Source organism: Homo sapiens, chromosome 9 (genome assembly GCF_000001405.40).
Source record: "Homo sapiens chromosome 9, GRCh38.p14 Primary Assembly".
NCBI lineage: Eukaryota > Metazoa > Chordata > Mammalia > Primates > Hominidae > Homo > Homo sapiens.
The window spans coordinates 81362467-81382273 of NC_000009.12; the positions used below are offsets into that span (position 1 = coordinate 81362467).

The window sequence follows — 19807 nt, forward strand, 5'->3', positions numbered from 1 at the left end:
ACCCACCTCAGGCTCTAAAACACCATAAATATCCTCCCTTTACTTCCCCGTTTTGAGACACTACTAAGACTCAGTGAAGTTGGCCTTCTCTCTTACTTCAGTAGGCCTAGTAAACAGCTTTGCTGGACAAGTGTGTATTCCTTTGATCTTTTGAGAGATTACTGATCAACAATCCATATTACACTCACCAATTCACATCTGTATCAAGGTTTATATGACTGTAGCTTATGCCTGATACTTCTCTCCATTCTGCCACCTATAATGGATTAAAAGAAAAAATAGTATTTTATTAGGAAGGGTGTGAAGGAAAAGCACAGTGGAGGTGCTATTTGAGTTTTAAAAGACATATAAAGTACTCAACTGGTTTTCAAGAAAGAAAAGAGTATTCATGTTCAAAGAAACAGATATATGGATTTATAAAGTAGATTAAGAAAACTTAGTATCTCAGAAAATGACTAGAACTAAGAGTACATCATGGAGTGGGGTGCTAGGAGTTTCTGTCTCACATGGAAGAAATAGGAACTTTAAGATTTGATCATTAATGAGATGTTGTTAGTAAAAGGAAAAGAAGAGTTTGGGATGACTCCAGGTTACTAGCTTAGCTTAATAGATACAAAGTCACACCCATTTCAAAGATGGAGAATTCAAGGAAAAAAAAATCTGTTTTGGAAAAATATAACACGTGTTCAGGCCTTCTAATAAATTGCACAAATACATGGACTGACCAACCCTGCCATTGGCAGTGGACTAGGGTCCATGAGTCAGGCAAAGGAGCTGAGATGAAGAAGACATGAATAAGTTAGAAAAGCCAGCCAGGTGTAGTGGTGCATGCCTAGTGCACACCCATAGTTCCAGCTACTTGGTAGGCTATGGCCAAAGGATCACATGAGTCCAGGAATTTGAGGCTGTAGTGCACTATGATTGTTCCTGTAAATAGCCACTGCTGCAGCCTTGGCAACATAGCAAGACCCCCATCACTAAAAAAAAAGAAGAAAAGAAAAGCCAAGAAAAAATGTTATCATAGAAATCAGAGCAGGGAAACAACCAAAAGGAAGGAGTAAGTGGTGTTAAATATTGCATATGCCAAGAAAGATGAGGCCTGGAAAAGCTTAATAAAATTGGAAATTCAGGACACGGCAAGCCAAAAGCATGAGATTGAGGTTGAAAAGCAAGGTATTAACTGAAAGAATTAGAAAAGCAAGAGCAAACCAACACCAAACCTAGCAGAAGACAAGAAAAAATCAAAATCAGAGCTGAACTGAAGAAAATTGAGACATGAAAAACCATTCAAAAGATCAACAAGATCTTGGGAAGATGGTGGATGAGAGGCAGGATTAGGTTGCAGCTCCTGCTTGGAAGGACAGAGCAGCGTGTGGAGACTCACATCATGAACTTTTGCTCAAAGAACTACCACAGGAACATACCAGGAAAGCCGAGAAGATCCACAGACCCTTTGAAGGAACTGGATCACCCCTGCAGGCTCCCCGAGATGCCAAAAAACGGTGAGTCAGCTTGCTTTCTTAATGGGGAGGCTCGTGGTCTGGGGCAAATTCTCAGCCCTGGAAATGGACTCGGTGCTACTGGGGGTTTGGCAGGGGCATGGTGGGAGCGAGGCCAGCCTTTAGGACTGTGGGCTATGTGGGAGCAGGGTGAGGCCTGTGACTGCCAGCTTTCCCCCACTTCCCTGGCGGCCTGTATGACTCAGCAGAACATAACTTCATTGGACTGAGAATTATACCCCTACCCCCACAGCAGCTGCAGCAAGCCCCACCCAAAGAGAGGCTGAGCTTAGACATGCCTAAACCTGCCACCACTTGATGGTCTTTCTCTACCCACCCTGGTAGCCAAAGACAAAGGTCATAATTTATTGGGAGGTCTATGGCCCTGTGCACCACCTAAGAAACCTGAATACTTAACCAGTTGTCTCTAGGGCAAGTTTGCATCCTCCCTACAGGACCACAGCTAATGTGGTCTTGAAAGTGCCACCTCCTGGCTGGAGGCCAACTAACACAAAACTAGCACACTAAATAAAAACACAACCAAAGACCCCACAGAATGCACTTCACTCCCCTGCTAACTCCACTGGAGCAGGTGCTGGTATTCACAGCTGCAAGACCTAAAGATCACATCACAGTGCTCTTTGCAGACACTCACCAGTACCGGCCCAGAGCCCAGTATCTCTGCTGGGTGGCTAGACCCAGAAATGCAAAAACAATCAGAACAGTTTGGCTCTCAGGAAGCCTCATTCCTAGAGGAATGGGAAGAAACCACATCAAGAAAACACCCTATGGGACAAAAGAATCTGAACAACAGCCCTTGAATCCCAGATGTTCCCTTGGACATAGTCTACCCCAATGAGAAGGAACCAGAAAAACAATTCTGGTAATATGACAAAATAAGGCTCTTTAACATCCTCCAAAAATCATATTATCTCACCAGCAATGAATCCAAACCAAGACCCAAAAGGAGCCCAGGACCAGAGAGATTCTTAGCCAAATTCTAGCAGATGTACAAAGAAAATCTGGTACCCTTTCTATGGAAACTACCACAAAAAAACTGAGGAAGAGAGATTCCTCCCCAACTCATTCTATGAGGCCAGCATCACCCGGATACCAAAACCTGGCAGAGACACAACACAAAAAGAAAACTTCATGCTAACATCATTGATGTGCATTAATGCAAAAATTCTCAACAAAATACTTGCAAACCAAATCCAGCAGCACATCAAAAAGCTAATGTGTGATAATCAAGTAGGCTTCATCCCCAGAATGCAAGGTTGGTTCAACATATGCAAATCAATAAATGTGATTCATCACATAAACAGAACTAAAAACAAAAACCACATGATTATGTCAATAGATGCAGAAAAGACTTTCAATAAAATTCAACATCCCTTTATGTTAAAAACTCTCAGTAAACTGGGCATTGAAGAAACATACCTCAAAATAATAAAAGCCATCTATAACAAATTCATAGCCAATATCATACTGAATGGGAAAATGTTGGAAGCATCCCCATTGTAAACAGGCACAAGACAAGGATGCCCTCTCTCACCACTCCTATTTAACATAGTATTGGAAGTCCTAGCGAGAGCAATCAGGCAAAAGAGAGAAATAAAGGGCATCCCAATAGGAAGGGAGGAAGTCAAACTACCTCTGTTTGCAGATTACATGATTCTATATCTAGAAAACCCCATAGTCTTGGCCCAAAAGCTCCTTCAGGTGATAAACAACTTCAACAAAGTTACAGGATACCAAGTCAATGTACAAAAATCACTAGCATTCCTCTACATCAACAATAGCCAAGCTATTGTTATATATTCTGATATAGCTGAGCTAAATCAGAAATGCAATCCCATTCACAATTGCCACAAAAAGAATAAAATACCTGGGAATACAGCTAACCAGGGAGGTAAAAGATCTCTACAATGTGAATTACAAACCAATGCTGAAAGAAATCAGAGATGACACAAGCAAATGGAAAAATATTCTATGCTCATGGATAGGAAGAATCAATATCTTTAAAATGGCCATGCTGCCCAAAGCTATGTATAGATTCAATGCTATTCCTATTAAACTACCAATAACGTTCTTCACAGAACTAGAAAAAAACTATTTATAAATTAATATGGAACAAAAAAAGAGCCTGAATACCCAAGGCAATCATAAACAAAAGAACAAAGCTGAAGGCATCACACTACCAACCTTCAAACTATAATGCAGGGATACAGTAACCAAAACAGTATGGTACTGACAAAAAAAAAAAAAAAAAAAACAGACACGTAGACCAGTGGAACAGAAGAAGGAACTTAAAAATAAGCTGCACACCTACAATCATCTGATCTTTGACAAAGTAGACAAAAACAAGCAATAGAGAAAGGTCTCTCTATTCAATAAATGGTGCTGGGATAACTGGCTAGACATATGCAGAAAATTGAAACTGGTCCCCTTTCTTACACTGGCTAGGTTGCAGAGAAAACTCAACTCAAGACAGATTAAAGACTAAAATGTAAAACCCAAAACTATAAAAACTCTGGAAGACAACCTAGGCAATACCATTCTGGACATAGGAACAAACAAAGATTTTATGACAAAGACACCAAAAGCAATTGCAACAAAAGCAAAAATTGACAGATGAGATCCAATTAAACTTAATAAACACACAACCTAGAGAATGGGAGAAAATATTTGCTAACTTTGCATCTAACAAAGGTTTAAAATCCAGCATCTATAAGGAACTTGAACAAATTTACAAGAAAAAACAACCCCATTAAAAAGTGGGCAAAGGGCAGGCACAGTGGCTCATGCCTGTAATCCCAGCACTTTGGGGGATCGCTGTAGGCAGATCACTTGAAGTCAAGAGTTCAAGACCTCCTAGCCAACATGGTGAAACCCCATTTCTACTAAAATTACAAGAAAAAAAAAATTAGCCGGATATGGTAGCGCACACCTGTGATCCCAGCTACTCAGGAGACTGAAAGAGGAGAATCGCCTGAACCCAGGAGGCAGAGGTTGCAGTGAGCTGAGATCGTGCCACTGACTCCAACCTGGGTGACAGAGTGAGTGAGATTCCATCTCAAAAAAAAAAAAAAAAAAAAGAACAGATGCTAATGAGGTTGCAGAGAAAAGGGAATGCTCATACACTGTTGGTGGGAATGTAAATTAGTTCAACGATTGTGAAAAGCAGTGTGGCGATTTCTCAAAGAGCTAAAAACAGAACTACCATTTGATGCAGCAATCCCATTACTGGGTATATACCCAAAAGAATATAAATCGTTCTACCATAAAGACACATGCAGGAAAATAAAGGGATAAGAATGACACATTGGACTTTGGGGACTCAGGGGGAAAGGGTGGGAAGGAGTTGAGGGATAAAAGACTACAAATATGGTGCAGTGTATACTACTTGGGTGATGAGTGCACCAAAATCTCATAAATCACCACTGAAGAACTTACTCATGTAACCAAATACCACCTGTTTCCCAATAACATATGGAAATTTTAAAATTAAAAACGAAGACACATACAGGCAAATGTTCTTTGCAGCATAATTCACAATAGCAAAGACACGGAATCAATGACAGATTGGATAAAGAAAATGTGGTACATATACACCATGGAATACTATGCAACCATAAAAAAGAACAAATTCATGTCTTTTATGGGAACATGGATGGAGCTGAAGGCTATTATCCTTAGCAAACTAATGCAGGAAGAGAATCCAAATTCCGAATGTTCTCACTTGTAAGTGAGAGCTAAATGATGAGAACTCATGGTCACAAAGAGGGGAAAAACTGACACTGGGGCCTTCTTGAGGACAGAGGGTGAAAGGAGACAGATCAAATAAAATAACTTTTGGGTACTAAGCTTAGTAAACTGGGTGAAGAAATAATCTGCACAACAAATCCCCATAACATGAGTTTTAACTATGAAACAAACCTGCACATGTACCTGTGAATCTAAAATAAAAGTTAAAAAATGGCTCACACCTGTAATCCCAGCACTTCAGGAGGCCGAGGCAGGTGGATCACGAGGTCAGGAGTTTGAGACCAGCCTGGCCAATATGGTGAAACCCCATCTCTACTAAAAATACAAAATTAGCCAGGCATGGTGGCACATGCCCATAATCTCAGCTACTCGGGAGGCTAAGGAAGAGAATTGCTTGAACCCGGGAGGATGAGGTTGCAGTGAGCCAGGTTGTGCCAGTGCACTCCAGCCTGGGCAACAGAGCGAGACAGAAAGAAAAGGAGAGGAGAGAAGAGGAAAGGGGAGGGAAGGGGAGGGGAGGAAAGGAAGGTATTCCTCTAATCTCTAAGGCCATGGAGATCCTGCAAAAATCTGGGCCTCACTCAAGGAACTATAGTAGAATATATATGCATATGCAGGGTTCTTGGCTAATTCTCATTCTGTCTCACTCATTGCAATCTTCCTACAATAGAAAATTGGAAGCCAGGTGTGGTGGCTCAAGCCTGTAATCTCAGCACTTTGCAAGGCCTAGGCAGGCAGATTGCTTGAGCCCAGGAGTTCAAGACCAGCCTAGACAACATGGCAAAATTTCATCTCGACTAAAAATACAAAAATTAGCCAGGCATGCTGGTGCACACCTGTAGTCCCAGCTACTCGGGAGGCTGAGGTGGAAGGATCACTTGAGCCTGGAAGGTTGAAGTTGTAGTGAGCCGAGATCAGCCACTGCTCTCCAGCCTGGGTGACAGAGTGAGACCCTGTCTCAAAATAAAAAGAATGAAAAGGAAAAAAAAAAATTGGAAGAAGCATATTGTCAGCTCTCTTTTCCTTGTTTGGTGGGTAAGACCAGATGATTTATAAGGTTTGGTGTAGCTACTTCTAAAGTCCTAAGAATGTATGGATGTGAGAGTGAATAAATAATACTATACAGGAAAAATCTCCAGAAGTGCTTCTGAAAGAGATAAAGATATGGGAACTCCTTTGAGAAAGATATTATTTAGGAAAGGCTCTAATCAGAACATTCTTTTCATTCAAAAGCATGTACCTTCTCATTGCTACATTGAAAAAATATATATATCTTTAGCCTGAAATGCAAGCACCACCCTAATCCGATGGAGGTCTACTTCTACATCCCCACTATGTCCCTTCACCCATCGTGGGATCTAGCCTAGAAGTCAGTAAACAACAGCCAGTGGCCAAATGAGCTTCAAAGAGCTTTAATAAAGTTTTATTGGAACCACAGCCACACCCATTCATTTAGGTATTATCTATGGCTGCTTTCACACTACAACAGAGTTGAGTATGCAACAAAGACCATCTGGCCTGCAAAGCCACTATATTTGCTACCTGACCCTTTAAAGAAAAAGTTTGCTGACCCATGTAATCTTGCCTGTTCCTCTCCAGACATTCCCTTTGTTCCCCATTTCTTTACCTTTGCTTATTCTATTCTCACTTTGTAGAATGCCCTTCAAATGTTACATATCCTTCCGTAACCAGCTTCTGGAAATGTCAGTTCTTCCACAGAGCTCCCTGCTGTTCTGTGCTGGAAGGCATTTCTGCATCTCTGAATTCCCATAATACCAAAAGTGTCTGGCACTTGTTGGGGGATCAATAAGCAATTGTTGAATGAATGATGGAAAGAGTCTATTCAGGGTATTGGTCCTTTCTTTTGTTTTAGTTATATACACATCTCCAGTTCTGTCTTGAGGATAGATCAGTCTCATATTTCTCAAAGCATTTCATGTGAGACCTTGAAAATTGTAGGCACATAATAAGCGTATTTTTTGAATAAAGAACTTAGAGGTAAGAAAGCAGGTAAAGCATGAATTGGTCAGTTTGTGGAAAAAATATTTTCGGAGTTCCCACCATTCCAAATTTTGTCCAAATAAATTTTTAAAATATTTGTCCCAAGTAAACACAGATTCTGAAATTTTTGCAGGACTCCCACATCATTAGTTTATATGAGGAGTTCTGCAAGGAACACACTGCCTGCTTTTTATTTTGTTCCTCAGTATTTGAAATGGCTAGGCAGGAATCATGCGACAGAGAAATGGGAATTAATATTTGAGAACTTAAAACTCACAAGCAAGGAGAAGAATCCTGGGAGTTATGAAATACACCACATCCTCATGGGTCATGAACAAAACAAAATAAAACAAAATAAAACTACCTTTGGTTTGGGTTGAGCAAAGTCTAAAAATAAAAACTCAGACCTAAAATTTGATTTTTTATTTTTAATTGTAAAATATACATAACATAAAATTTACCACTTGAAGCATTTTTAAGTATACAATTCAGTGGCCTTAAGCACATTCACCTCGTTGTGCAACTATCACCACCGTCTACCAGAACTTCTTCATGTTCTCAAACTGAAAAACTAGTTTAACTGGCCCATTTGGAATCTGGATTTTCTCAGATATTATCATAGGACAGTTGGTGGCCACATCAGCTCATTAACCAACGTCATTCAATGACTCTTTCCAAGTATAATTCCAATGTATAGAAAAGGATTTAGCTAATTGTTTAGAAATAATCAAAGAAAATAAAATTTTAGGAGAAATAAATATTCAACGTGCTAGGACCTGAGGAGATTCAAAAGGTTACAAAGAATCCACTATTTTCTGATGGGTAGGATTATGGTTGTTTGCTTTTGTGAAATATTGAACAGAATTGTCAAGAAATACATTTTGTCTAAGCATCTGTCTCCTTTTTATACAAAAGAAAGAAAGAGAGAGGAAGTTCTCTACAAATCATTCAGTGCCTAGCTCTACTCATCCCCTGTTAACAGATACTCCCACGCGTGAAAATATAATCCCAAGAGAGGATTCTGTATCTTCCATTAGAGCATTTCCAGAAACATAATCTTTTCAGCTAACATGGCAATCGCTGCAGGGTGTCCCACAAGGGGGCTACTCTTCACCTTGTAATGTTTAACGGCTGGAGTTTCTGTAGGGAGAAGATTGATTTACAACCCAAGGTGCCTGGTCCCCAAGCGCCAGTCGCTTCACTGTAGCCTTCAAGAATCGTATTTCACAGACCCAAATAACAGGCTTGGTAAACAATAAAATTGAGCACCAGAATTGTCCAGGGAGCAGAAAGTACTACAACCAGTGAGCCAGGATTCTGGCTGTGAGGCAGGGTGGGTGTCTGGGGGATATGGCATGGACTCTGAGCCAGGCTTCTTGATTGCCAAGTGCTTCTCCTCTAGTCTTTACCTTCATCTGACAACTCCAGTGGTTCACGGCGGTGTAGACTCCAGTCCTCAATCCAGATTGGCTGTGTCTATTACACTGAAGATCTGGAAGAAGCTCGTTGGAGCAACCAAGTTCAACAATTTTCAACTGCTAGGAGTCTGAGGGCAGGACCTGGGCAATTTGTAGCAGACCAAGGGGAGGGGAGTGGCTTCCCCTGAGCCCTTGCTCACCTTGCTCCCATATAGGGCCTGGTGCGGGGGCTGCATCAGACTAGGGCATGACGCTTTTTAAAAAATTCACCCAAACTTCCAGGCTAGTGGAGGCCCAACAGAGGAAGTGCCTCAGGGCGCTCAGGACAGATAGCCTGAGCTGGTGACAGTCTGGTCCTAAACCTTAGTTCAATCAAAATAGCTGCACTTTTTATACATATATACATATAAAAATGCAAATACATATTTTTTAATATTTGAGGAAGTGTATATAAGATTTCCCCCGTATTTGAAAGACTCCACTACTTAAAAAAAGAAGAAAAAAAAATTCCCTCTGATGATAAAACAGAGGCTTCCAAAGCATAAAGATGGGGCAAATTCATACATACAGAGTGGGGATCAGGGATGAGAATCAACGTGCTGCCAACTTCTGGCCCACTGCTTTCTCTCCACCCCATGGCCTGCTTCACAGCGTGCCCTTTAACTTCAAAATGCAGGGTGGCTAAAGTATTTACAATGTCCTGCTCCCAATTCTCATGCAGTGTGAACAGCAGGAGAAAATGAAACCTTTGAAAGAAATGAAAAGAAACTACCTGCCTGTGGACATTCTGGAAATCAACGGCTGACCAAGAAGGACTGTGAACAAGCCTGCCTCCTGATCCGGTGCCTCCGGGTCATTTTCACCTGACGTGAGTCCTTGGCAGACTTTCGTGTTTGTAGTTCCTGCTTGTTCATGGTGCATAAGGTGACTAGGGAAATCCTGATGCCAGAATTTCCCAAATTACCCTACACCCAGGGCCCCGAGGAGCTCTGAGATTTCAGTACCTTACCAGCTGCTGTATCTTTAAACACAGGCTTGTTTTTTCCTTATAATTGAGAGACGAGGCCCTGGAGACAGGGAATGCTAAACCCCTCAGATGCTCCTGCTAAAGCCCTGAGTAACAGTGGGTGCTCCTGAATAATCAGTATTCAACACCGTGGTCAGTTACTTAGAGCAAGGAGAAAACATTTTACAAAAGAATTACCCTATTCTTTCAGAAAACGGAAGTCCCAGGTTCTCTGCACTATATTATTCTCACCCGTTCAAGCACTTTTTTGTTCAGACATTCAAGTGAAAACATTGATTCAACCAACCAGTAGGAGGCAAAATATGTCACCCAATATACTTTTTCTCTCATGCATATAAACAAAAGAAGGATTAAAAACACCAGCACCCAAAGAAACAATGAAGACTCCGTTTGATTCTTTGATTTTTACAGCTGGATAAGCTGAGGGTCTCCCTGAGAGTCTAAGCAGTTCATAGTAGAATCCACTTCCTAGTCTTGGGTCTTACCACCAAACCCCATGACCAGAGCTAGGAAACACTATTTCCCAGTTCGCCTGAGACTGTCTTGGTTGACATTAAGTCATCCGAGTGTAGTTAATAATAGTGACTCTGTCACTCTCAAAAGTGTTCCAGGGAAGATAATTGATGACGTGATCACATCTCCTAAGGATGTGTGTTTACTGGGCTTACAGCTAAGACAGACGAAGCCAGTGGGAAGAAGTGGGAAGTATGCAGAGCATTGGCCCTTGGACTGAGCACTCACAGAAACCTGACCACAAGCCCAAATCTTGTGCTGATACGTGCTCCTCAAATTCTCAGAGACATCTGTGATCTAAAATAGGTTAACAGTCACTAGGCCGGTTTACAGCCCTACCCGCTGGGCACCCATCCCAGGAGACAATCAGCTGGGCAGCCTCCAACTCTCTCTCCTCCTCCTGCCTTCTCACTGCACCAAACTGTTCCCATGAAACCCAAACCTACCCAAATGGATTTGGCTCTTGTTGTAGTTTCTCGACTAATTCCCTAGGGCCTCTCGCTCTGGCAAGATTCTGTTAGGTTTGTCATGTTTCAGAAGTATAATGATTAAGAATCACAGAGGGCAAGGGAGTGGGAGAAGAGGAGGAAGAGCAGGTAGGGGGAGGCAGCAGGGAGAGAGATTGGGGAGGGGGACGAGGAGGAGGAGGAGGAAGAGGAGGAAGAAGAGGAGGAATGAGGAGAGAGTATTGTTAACAACAAGACCCCTGGGACAGTCAGCCATGGGAAGATTTCAGTTTAAGCAACAAAGACTATTTTGTTCCCTGAGCTCTCAACTGAGCAGCATTTGGCTCCAACAGAAGAAAGAGGTCCCTGGGGAAAGGCGGGGGCCATGTATCCAACTGCCTCCCTTGTCACCACAGGCTGTCATCTTGTCAGGAGCACATAAACCAGGCAATGCTGGTTTCAGTCCGCACCAGGGGACAGGCCACTGAGCGAAACTTGGTGTCTAGGGTGGTGCCACAGGGATCTGTCTCTTCCACCTGAATCTCTCTCTGGGAGATCCACCTTCCTGGAGATCCTGGCTTCTTTTCTGGAGACATAAAATGAAGATTCAGATCACCCAGGGGATTAAAAATCTCAAGGCAACCTGCAGGAGGTGAGAAAGGAATAAGAAGAGATGGGTATTAACTGCAGGACCCTGGAGCTCCTGGCTCCCTTCCGAGGTGAAGCACCACGATCCTCTCCTACCCTGTCTTCCTTCAAAAACGAAAAACAGTGCTCACTTGGAAGATGAGGATACAATTCCCTGTTGGAAGGGCTGCTGTGGAGATTAGGGACAATATCAACAGAGCTCTCTGTGCCGCGTCTGACACTCTGTGCTCAATAAATGGTAGCTCTCATTAGTGATATTAAAGGGGCTCTACATTTGAAGAGTAAAGAGGTTTGATTTTTTTTTTCTGGAAAGAAGTAAATGGCTTCTTAGAAAGAAGAAGCATTGCCACTGAATCACAGTAAGACTGTGTTTAAAATTCTGTGCATTTAGTCAGGTGTTTGAAGGAACAGTATGTCCCAGTCTCACTGGGAGCCCTTGCTAGCACATGCCCTGTGGAATATTAGCATGTGTGAATTTACAAAATAATCTCTATAACGGACCTTGGAAAATGGGTTCATGGTGTTTGCCTTTCACCTGCAAACCATGGCGGTGATTTAAGGAAAGGCACATGTTAATCAACCCATGTACAGGCCCTAGAGGGGAATAAACGGAGCAGCGTGTCTGGTCAATGTGAAGAGGGAGATTCTCCCTACAGAAACTCAGAGGCCAAAGGAGTGGGAGGAGAAGAGAAACCGGAGGAGGAGTGGATAGAGGGAGGCAGGTGACAATCTGCCTGCCTTAAACGTGAGAAGTCCAGAGCAGGTGAGGTAGGTGACCTCAGTTAGAAATCAGGGGAAGGCACCAGACATTTCCCCTCCCACCTTCCCACTCAGCAGTTTTGAGGCCAAGTGCATCCACACCCCAAAACTGAGAGCTGACACTGAGCACCACCTTTCTGAAACCTCCCTTTGCTTTGGCTAGCAGAATAGATTCTGAGCCATCCTCTCTGGAGCACCATTCATTATTGCTCTGAAAAGGCTGGGACTTGCTTTCAAAAGGCAGGTGGGCCTGGGGACCATGTTTCACTTCTTGACACCATTAATTGGGTTATGAGTCAGAGCTGTAATGAAGACAAGTTTTGGTGTCTCCTCCAACTGTCCTGGGAAATGCACATGCACAGGCCCAAAAGCCACAGAGGGTGAGAGAGCCGGACAGATTTGCTTTGTTTATTGGGCCCACGTGGTCACCAGATAAATGGTCAGCACCATGGGACTCCTCTGTGCACAGGCCTACAGTTTTTTCTGCTGCTCCCAGAGGCCCTTAGATGTCAGAGTCTCTCACCCAGAGTGGCTCATTAGTAACAGGAAGAAGTGGGAGGAGGCAGGAATGGATTCAAAACAAGCCACAGAAGGAGGCTTGAAAGAAGGAATAAAGCAGGGGCTGGTCTTGCATGTGAATCAGGCCATTGTACAAATAGGAGCAAGACCAGCTCCCTACCTGGAGGCAGCAAGGAGAGTGGCACACACTTAGCAGCCTGCATCATGCAGCAAACCTCTGAAGGTCCAAGACTTATCAAAAGAAACAGCCCAGACTTATCAATCTCACAGAAGTCCATTATGCATGCAGTCCTGGATCTGGCCAGTTAGGCTGCATAAAACATGCAGGCTGACAAGTCTTATCACCTCAATGAATTCGAAAGTCCAATTACATTTATAGGATTCTTGGCCTCTCTAATGCTTCCATGCAACTCTATCAGACTTCATTTAGACTCCCTGCCTTTTGGATTAAATGTTTGCAGCCCCAGCTGCAATCTCACTTCGATTTTAAAATCCTCCGGTCTGGTATATTGTTTACAACTAGCAGGAGGCTTATCTGTGGTCCTTTGGAGAGGATGCATTATGACATCATCTGAGGAAGTTACGATGTACACCACCCTTCGGTTCTCCCTTAAGTCCTCCGCTCCAGAACAAGTTCATAAATCCCAACTTCCTCAAAACCAAACTAGAGAAAGGGACAAGGTCAGAAAAGACCAACTTTCTGAACCAATGACAGGAGCTTCTCCCGAGGGGCAAGAGGAGAGATTGCTGCAGTGCCATTTGGTTATCTGCTCCTAGTCCTGGGGGTGTGAGGAGCCTGGAGGCTGGAGTGGTGCAGGTGGATAAACCAGGCCTGAATGCTGCCCCAGGGAGTTTGGAAATCACTGAGCGAGGGAGAGAGAGAGGGAGACAAGGCTTTGTGTCTTTGAAGCAGCACAACCTAGTAGTTCATTATGCATTTTCTGGGGTCAGACTGCCTGGTTTCAATCCAGCTCCATAATTTGTGCCCTTGTGCGAGTTGGCCAGCCACTCCCCGTCTCCTTTTCCTCTTTTGAAAACTGGAGAGGTGAAAGCCTGCATCCTCGATTGTGTGTCAGGGTTACAGGAGGTCATACTGTGATCTGCCTAGAAATGATGCCTGGCACAAAGTCGGTGCTCAGTACACGTTAGCTTTTGTCATAAACCTGCCTTCTCCAAGCACCAAATCACAGTGAATTTATCTCCAAGGAAACTGGCAGTTACAAGCTCTTCCTTTCACCAGGATGGAACATTAACACAGACAGCCTAGGAAACATGATAATTTGGATGGTTGCAGCAAAATTACCTGTTGCCTCTACCTTCTCACTCAAGACACCAGAGAGAGACTCATGTTGGAACTTTCCATAGACAACAATACCACATGGGCCACTCAGAGCAGCCTTTCATTCTGCTGCCAACCTGGGAATCAGATAGCGTGCTTGGGTTGGAACCTGGTCTCTTCATAGTGCTGCCTCTGAGCAGTACGAATTAGGCCATTCCTCAACTCGAGGGAGTGGTGGGCTGAAAAACCTGAATGCATTGTCAGGCAACAAAAAGCTAAGGATTTACTGTTAACCTCAGATGCTTATTAAACCTCCCATCTTGAGTGCTGCAATCTACCCTAATAACATGGTTATTCAACCTTATTGTATCCTTGTTAACTAACTGGCATCTATTCCACAAGAACTTTCCATCCTGGGAATTTCCAGGTCTGCAGCAGAGCCTAAAAGCTAACTCAAGTCCAAAGCTCATGGGAATCAGTGGATTAAGCCCCAAGCCCACCTGACCCCAGGTTGAGCTGTGATGTAGAAACTCTAGTCACCAAATGTCATGCTCAAGTGTTAATGATGTTTTTGTCTAACTTGGTCTGAACTGCAAGTATTTCTAGGCTCACTTACTCTTAAAGACAACCCCAGCGTTTCACACTGAAATTAACACTCTTTGACACAGCACACAGTGCCAGAGTGTAACATTTACAAGGGGAAAATAACTTGAAAGTGAAGGAGACCAAAAAGGCATAATTACCCAAGGCAAACTGTTTTGTTCATTCAGTGATTACAGTGGTTTTAAAGCCTTATAATTTATCATAGCTCAGAACAATTTAAATCTCAGTTGTGCTCCTTCAAGAAACAGAGACGCTTCCCTTCCTTTATTCCTTCTGACAGGCTACTCTTTTAATATCATCTTAGTTCTAAGACGGCATAGACTATACCTTCCCCACACCACACACAGACAAAAAAGAAAACTGACAGCAGCCGCCTTTCCCCTTTGCATTGGGCTGCAACACACAAATAACCAAAGAGTATAACAATTCCAAATGGGTGTAATTTCTTTCAGGTTCAAGTATCAGTTTGCTTGTTTTGCTGCTGCTAATCACCTCTTAAACAAACAATTGCTTTATCTATGTACTGTGCCTCATTTCACTTTCAAATTATGTGTGTGTTTTGCTCCTAACAGCTTATTATGATCTGTAATTAACAATTTTGCGAAAGCAGAGCTGTGTATTGAAGAGAGCCCACATGCTATCTGAGAAGTACTTGAAACAGGAGGCCTTTGTTTTCATCACAAATTTGGCAAACAGAAGACGCCTCCCTTCTCTTCTCTGCATTGTCTCCTTCAGAAGTCCAGAAGTGCAAAGGCAGAAAATTAAAAGGAAGGCTTCGAACTTCAGCAAAATTCCAATGGGCTACCTTTGAATCTAAATACACCAGGGCTTCTCAAATTTGGCCACAATTTGGAATCACCTAGGGAGCTTTTACAGGAATGCCCAGACTTAGCCCCAGACTAATTAAGTCAGGGTCTAGGGATGGACCCAGGTCTGAGTTCTTAATAAAGTACCCCAGATAATTACAAAGCGCAGTCAAGATTGAACACTCCTGTGACAAACTAGCTAGTCTGCTTTGCAGGAGCTCAGAGAAAAGGGTAATAACAGGGATGAATTCAGTGGTTAAAAGTTGTACTTGAGTGCACTAAAATTTAGACTATTTTCCAAGTCCATGAATCATCTCCAATCTAGATGATTTGCAGAAGATTATTTTTCCCCATTTCTCAGCTTATTCAAGCTCACCAAACAAGCAGCAAAGTTATTTAAAAATTTCACCCTGGGAAGCAGGTTTTTGAGATTATCGAGGGAAAACTCATTTGGGAACATATTTCCTGGATATATTCTGGCATAGGCAACCAGCATTTCTCTTGTGGTTCAAGCACTTTAGAACTTTCTCTGCCAGGCTTGGCAAAGTTATAGACACAGCTCCTGAAGTCTTGTGTTCAAAGGTCCAGATATGGTTCTCCACTTTTACACAATCCATTAGACTGGAGGGAAACCAATTTCTTTAACATATAACAAAGAAGCTGGGTGTGGGCTTTAGTATGAGTAAGCCATCAGAATTTTAGGGCACAGGTACTTTTTTTTCATTTGTGGTAGAGGCTTGCAGCCCTGGCTGAAATGCTTCTCCTGAACCCAGGTCTGAAGTGTGCCAAACGTGTTACTTGTGCTCGCCTCTACTGTCAGCACGTCCCTCTCTTGAAATTGCTCTGTCCTTTATTTCTTATTCTATTAAATTATTTCTATTATTTTATTTCTTATTTTTTATTCTTATTAGACTTAAGTATCAAACAGCTTCATCTCATCATGATTCTCCATACAAGCACATTCGAAGTTCAAAGCACTATAGTGGATCAGAATATGACACCCCAAAACATGCCTCTTTTTTTTTTTTTTTTTTTTTGAGACAAGAGTCTCGCTCTGTCTCCCATGCTGAAGCGCAGTGGCACGATCTCCTCTCACTGCAACCTCCACCTCCCAGTTCAAGTGATTCTCCTGCCTCAGCCTCCTGAGTAGCCGGGATTACAGGTGCGCACCACCACGCCCTAGTAATGTTTGTATATGTTGTGTTTTTTTTAGTAGATATGGGGTTTCTCCATTTTGGCCAGGCTGGTCTCAAACTCCTGACCTCAGGTGATCCACTCGCTTCAGCCTCCTAAAGTGCTGGGATTATAGGTGTGAGCCACCACACCCGGCCAAAATCTGCCTCGCTGACAGAAGGGTTATTTTGAGCTGAGACAATTGAGATACAGCAGATGCCAGAAAGGCTCTCTGTACTCCTTCCATTTGCCTAAAAGATATAAATTTCCATTTGTAAAGGTGTTTTTGTCTCCTGTACCAGGAAGAGGAGGACAACGCTTAAGACTAAATCACTGTAATCTCTTCTCAGACCAGAGATGGCACCAAGAGAAACTTTACTGAAATAGCTCTTATCTTCCATTAGTTTTCTCACATATATTTACCTTCCCACAGTTTACCACTCCTAGAAGCCTAAATTTCTTTTCCTTTGTCTTGTCACCTCTCTACAAATTTATTGTTCTTTGCTAGGATGCTAGATAAGTTCCAAGTTCTAACCACCCCTTTGAGTTATTCATCACTGAGTTTCTCCCAGGGGTATGTCCACTGTATTGTTAACAAACTTGCTATTCCCTTGTTAATCTATCTTTCATCAGTTTAATTTCCCAGCCACAGAATCTAAGAGGGTAGAGAATAAGCTTTCCCGCCTCCCCTACGGTGCTAATAAAGAATTCTAAAGGGATAAATTGCACTTTGCATGTTGGGGCAAATTTTCTCCTCCATCCTTCTACCCAACTCCAACTTTAACACACACACACACACACACACTCACACAATTTTGTTATCTAATCCAGTGGCTCCCAAATATGGCTGGTCATTGGACTCAACTAGGGAGCTTTTAAATTATGATTTCCTAGGCTCCATTCCCTGATTCTGACTCAATAGGTCTGGAATGAGGCCCAACAATCCGTATTTTGGAAACTCCTAAAGTGATGCTGATGATTATCCATATTTGGAATCTACTGATCTAGCCCACAAGTGAGTACCAGATCAGATTAGGGAGAAGGGAAAGGGTCACCCCATACAAGGTGTAAGGGAGGGTGGAGCAGGTATTCAGAAGTAGGTAAGGATTTTTGGCACTTCTTCAATCCCAAAACAGCAGTTGTCCAAGTATATGCGGCAGATGTGTCACTGCTCAGAGAGCGAATGGCCCTGGGGTCTGCAATCTGTCACCATTACTGCCCAAATAGTTCCCGGAGATGTCAAGGGACAGGCCTACCTTCAGCCATAATTAAGATTCTGATTTCCCAGAACCTATTCTCCACGCAATAAATGAGAAAGCCTGTACTCTTTCAGAGGGCTGGTCCCCAACTGACAGCCTCAAATTTAGAGCTGAAGAGGGGAACAAGGGACTGGGAGAACAGAGTGAAGAAGTTTAACGAGAGGGTTGAAGTGCATAAAACACAGAGGAGAGGAGACCTTCGATGTAAAAACCAGTTTAATAGAAAAACATTTTCTAAAATGACAAACCAAAGGCTGGGAAGCGTCAAAACTCTTCTCAGTATCTCTCATTGGCTGGTTTGCCTCACAGATCCTCCTTGTGAAAATAAAAAAATAAAAATAAATAAATAAAAAACACTCTGCAAGGCAAGAAATATTGTGACTCAAATTGCATCCGTGAGATTCTCTGATTAAAAAAAAATCAATTTGTCGGATCAATTTTTCTTAAACAAGTTCATCATACTCTAGAGCAACGAGCCAATCAATAGGGAATGTTTTTCAGCCACTTCCCAGCCTTCCCACTTCAGTAATTGCTAGAATTTCATATCGACAGGCCATAGGATGCTTTGAAGGCTGAATTGATCCATTAGCCTGTGGTGCTACAAGGCTGGGCCACAACAATAACGCTGTGTCCCTCCGGGGACCAGGGCTGAAATCAAACAGGAGGTGAGCCATTACATTCTCCACTTGACCGTGGAGGAGCCAGACTCCAGCCTCTACTGGAAACTTGGGAATGAGGAACAAGGAGAAAAATCAAGGAAGTAGGAAGTACATGGAACAGAGAAGGAAGGCGGGGCAGCAGAGTTTGGGGCGGGAGGAAACCCCAAAGACCTACAGTCTGACTGTAAGTGGTCTCCACTGAGGAGGAAATGCTGTGTGGCCTGATGAAACCACATGTGCTGGGCAGCTGCAGTGAACAGAAAAATAAACTTGAAAGGACTCCAAAAGAGAAGCTAAATGATGCTCATCAGTATCATTTTAGCCTTGAACCTTAGCTCATAGTTCTTCTTTAACAGTGATGTGAATAATTACTTGTGCCTGGGGCTAAGGAGAAAGGGAGCCTCCCAGAGTGCAGCCAAGGAGAAAGAAGCAAGGAGTACAGGGAAAATGGAGCAAACTCTTATCTTTTGCCAGGAGGTAAAATTATTCATCTTGTAATCATTCCTGGACAGCTGTCCTGTGCATTTATACAACCCACTAACTCAGCAGGTTATCATAATAGGAATTATAATACACAAAGCATCCCAGAGAAATCAAGGTTTGATTCACCAAAGAGAGAAATTACCACAGGGGGCCAGATCATATTTCCTTTGCAGGACAAAGTTTAACTTTGGTAACAGGAAAATAAAATCTGATAGTCAGAATATACTCTGGTAAGAGGCACTGGTTTTGCCCATTATAAAGGTGCTGTTCATCTATTAATCAGTGAATTGTTCATTAACTATCCTACACAGTTATGTAGGCTTCTCATAAACCTGTTGGAAAGCAATGTCTGTGGAAAGCAAATTTGCACAAGAGATGGAAATTGCCCACCACATGCTAGCATGATTAACCTTCAATTTTTATGTGGAAATTAGGTATGCCTTATTAAAACTCAAAAGCCAGGGTTTTACTGCCCTCAGATACAAGCATATGTAGATACATACATTTATACCAGTAGCACGAGCACAGCTCTGAGTGGCAGGTCAGCATATATTAGTTGCTGGGTCAGACCTCAGCAGAGGACAAACTGACGTGTTCCGTGCTGTCACACATTGCTTATTGTATGCACTAGACATCCTGAAGGACACTGACATCCTTGGCAACTCATACCTTTTTCAGTTTCCATGAAAACCTTACTTATTGAGTTCATGTGTGTATTTGCTTAGTATATTTCATAATCTGAGTCCAACCTGGTCCTCATACAAATATAATTAATCTGTCTACTTTGAATAGACAACTGCAGTATCATCTCTGTGGCTTTCTACATAAGTTAAATATGGAGGAAAAGAATTATAAAAATGAAGACTATTTAAATGATAGGTTTGTTGACTATGTTACTAGATAAACTCATCGACAGAGTTAGATAATATGCAGTTGGTAATATATTT

At 42.5% G+C, this 19807-nt stretch overlaps 1 annotated feature.

Annotated features, from left to right (window-relative positions):
• Window positions 1026–2225: an enhancer, noted in NCBI's record as "MED14-independent group 3 enhancer chr9:83978407-83979606 (GRCh37/hg19 assembly coordinates)". NCBI's record gives its function as "activates an origin of replication core promoter dependent on BRD2, BRD4, P300/CBP and CDK7 cofactors, and independent of MED14, by STARR-seq in HCT116 cells {active_cell/tissue: HCT116}" and the evidence as "EXISTENCE:reporter gene assay evidence [ECO:0000049][PMID:35650434]".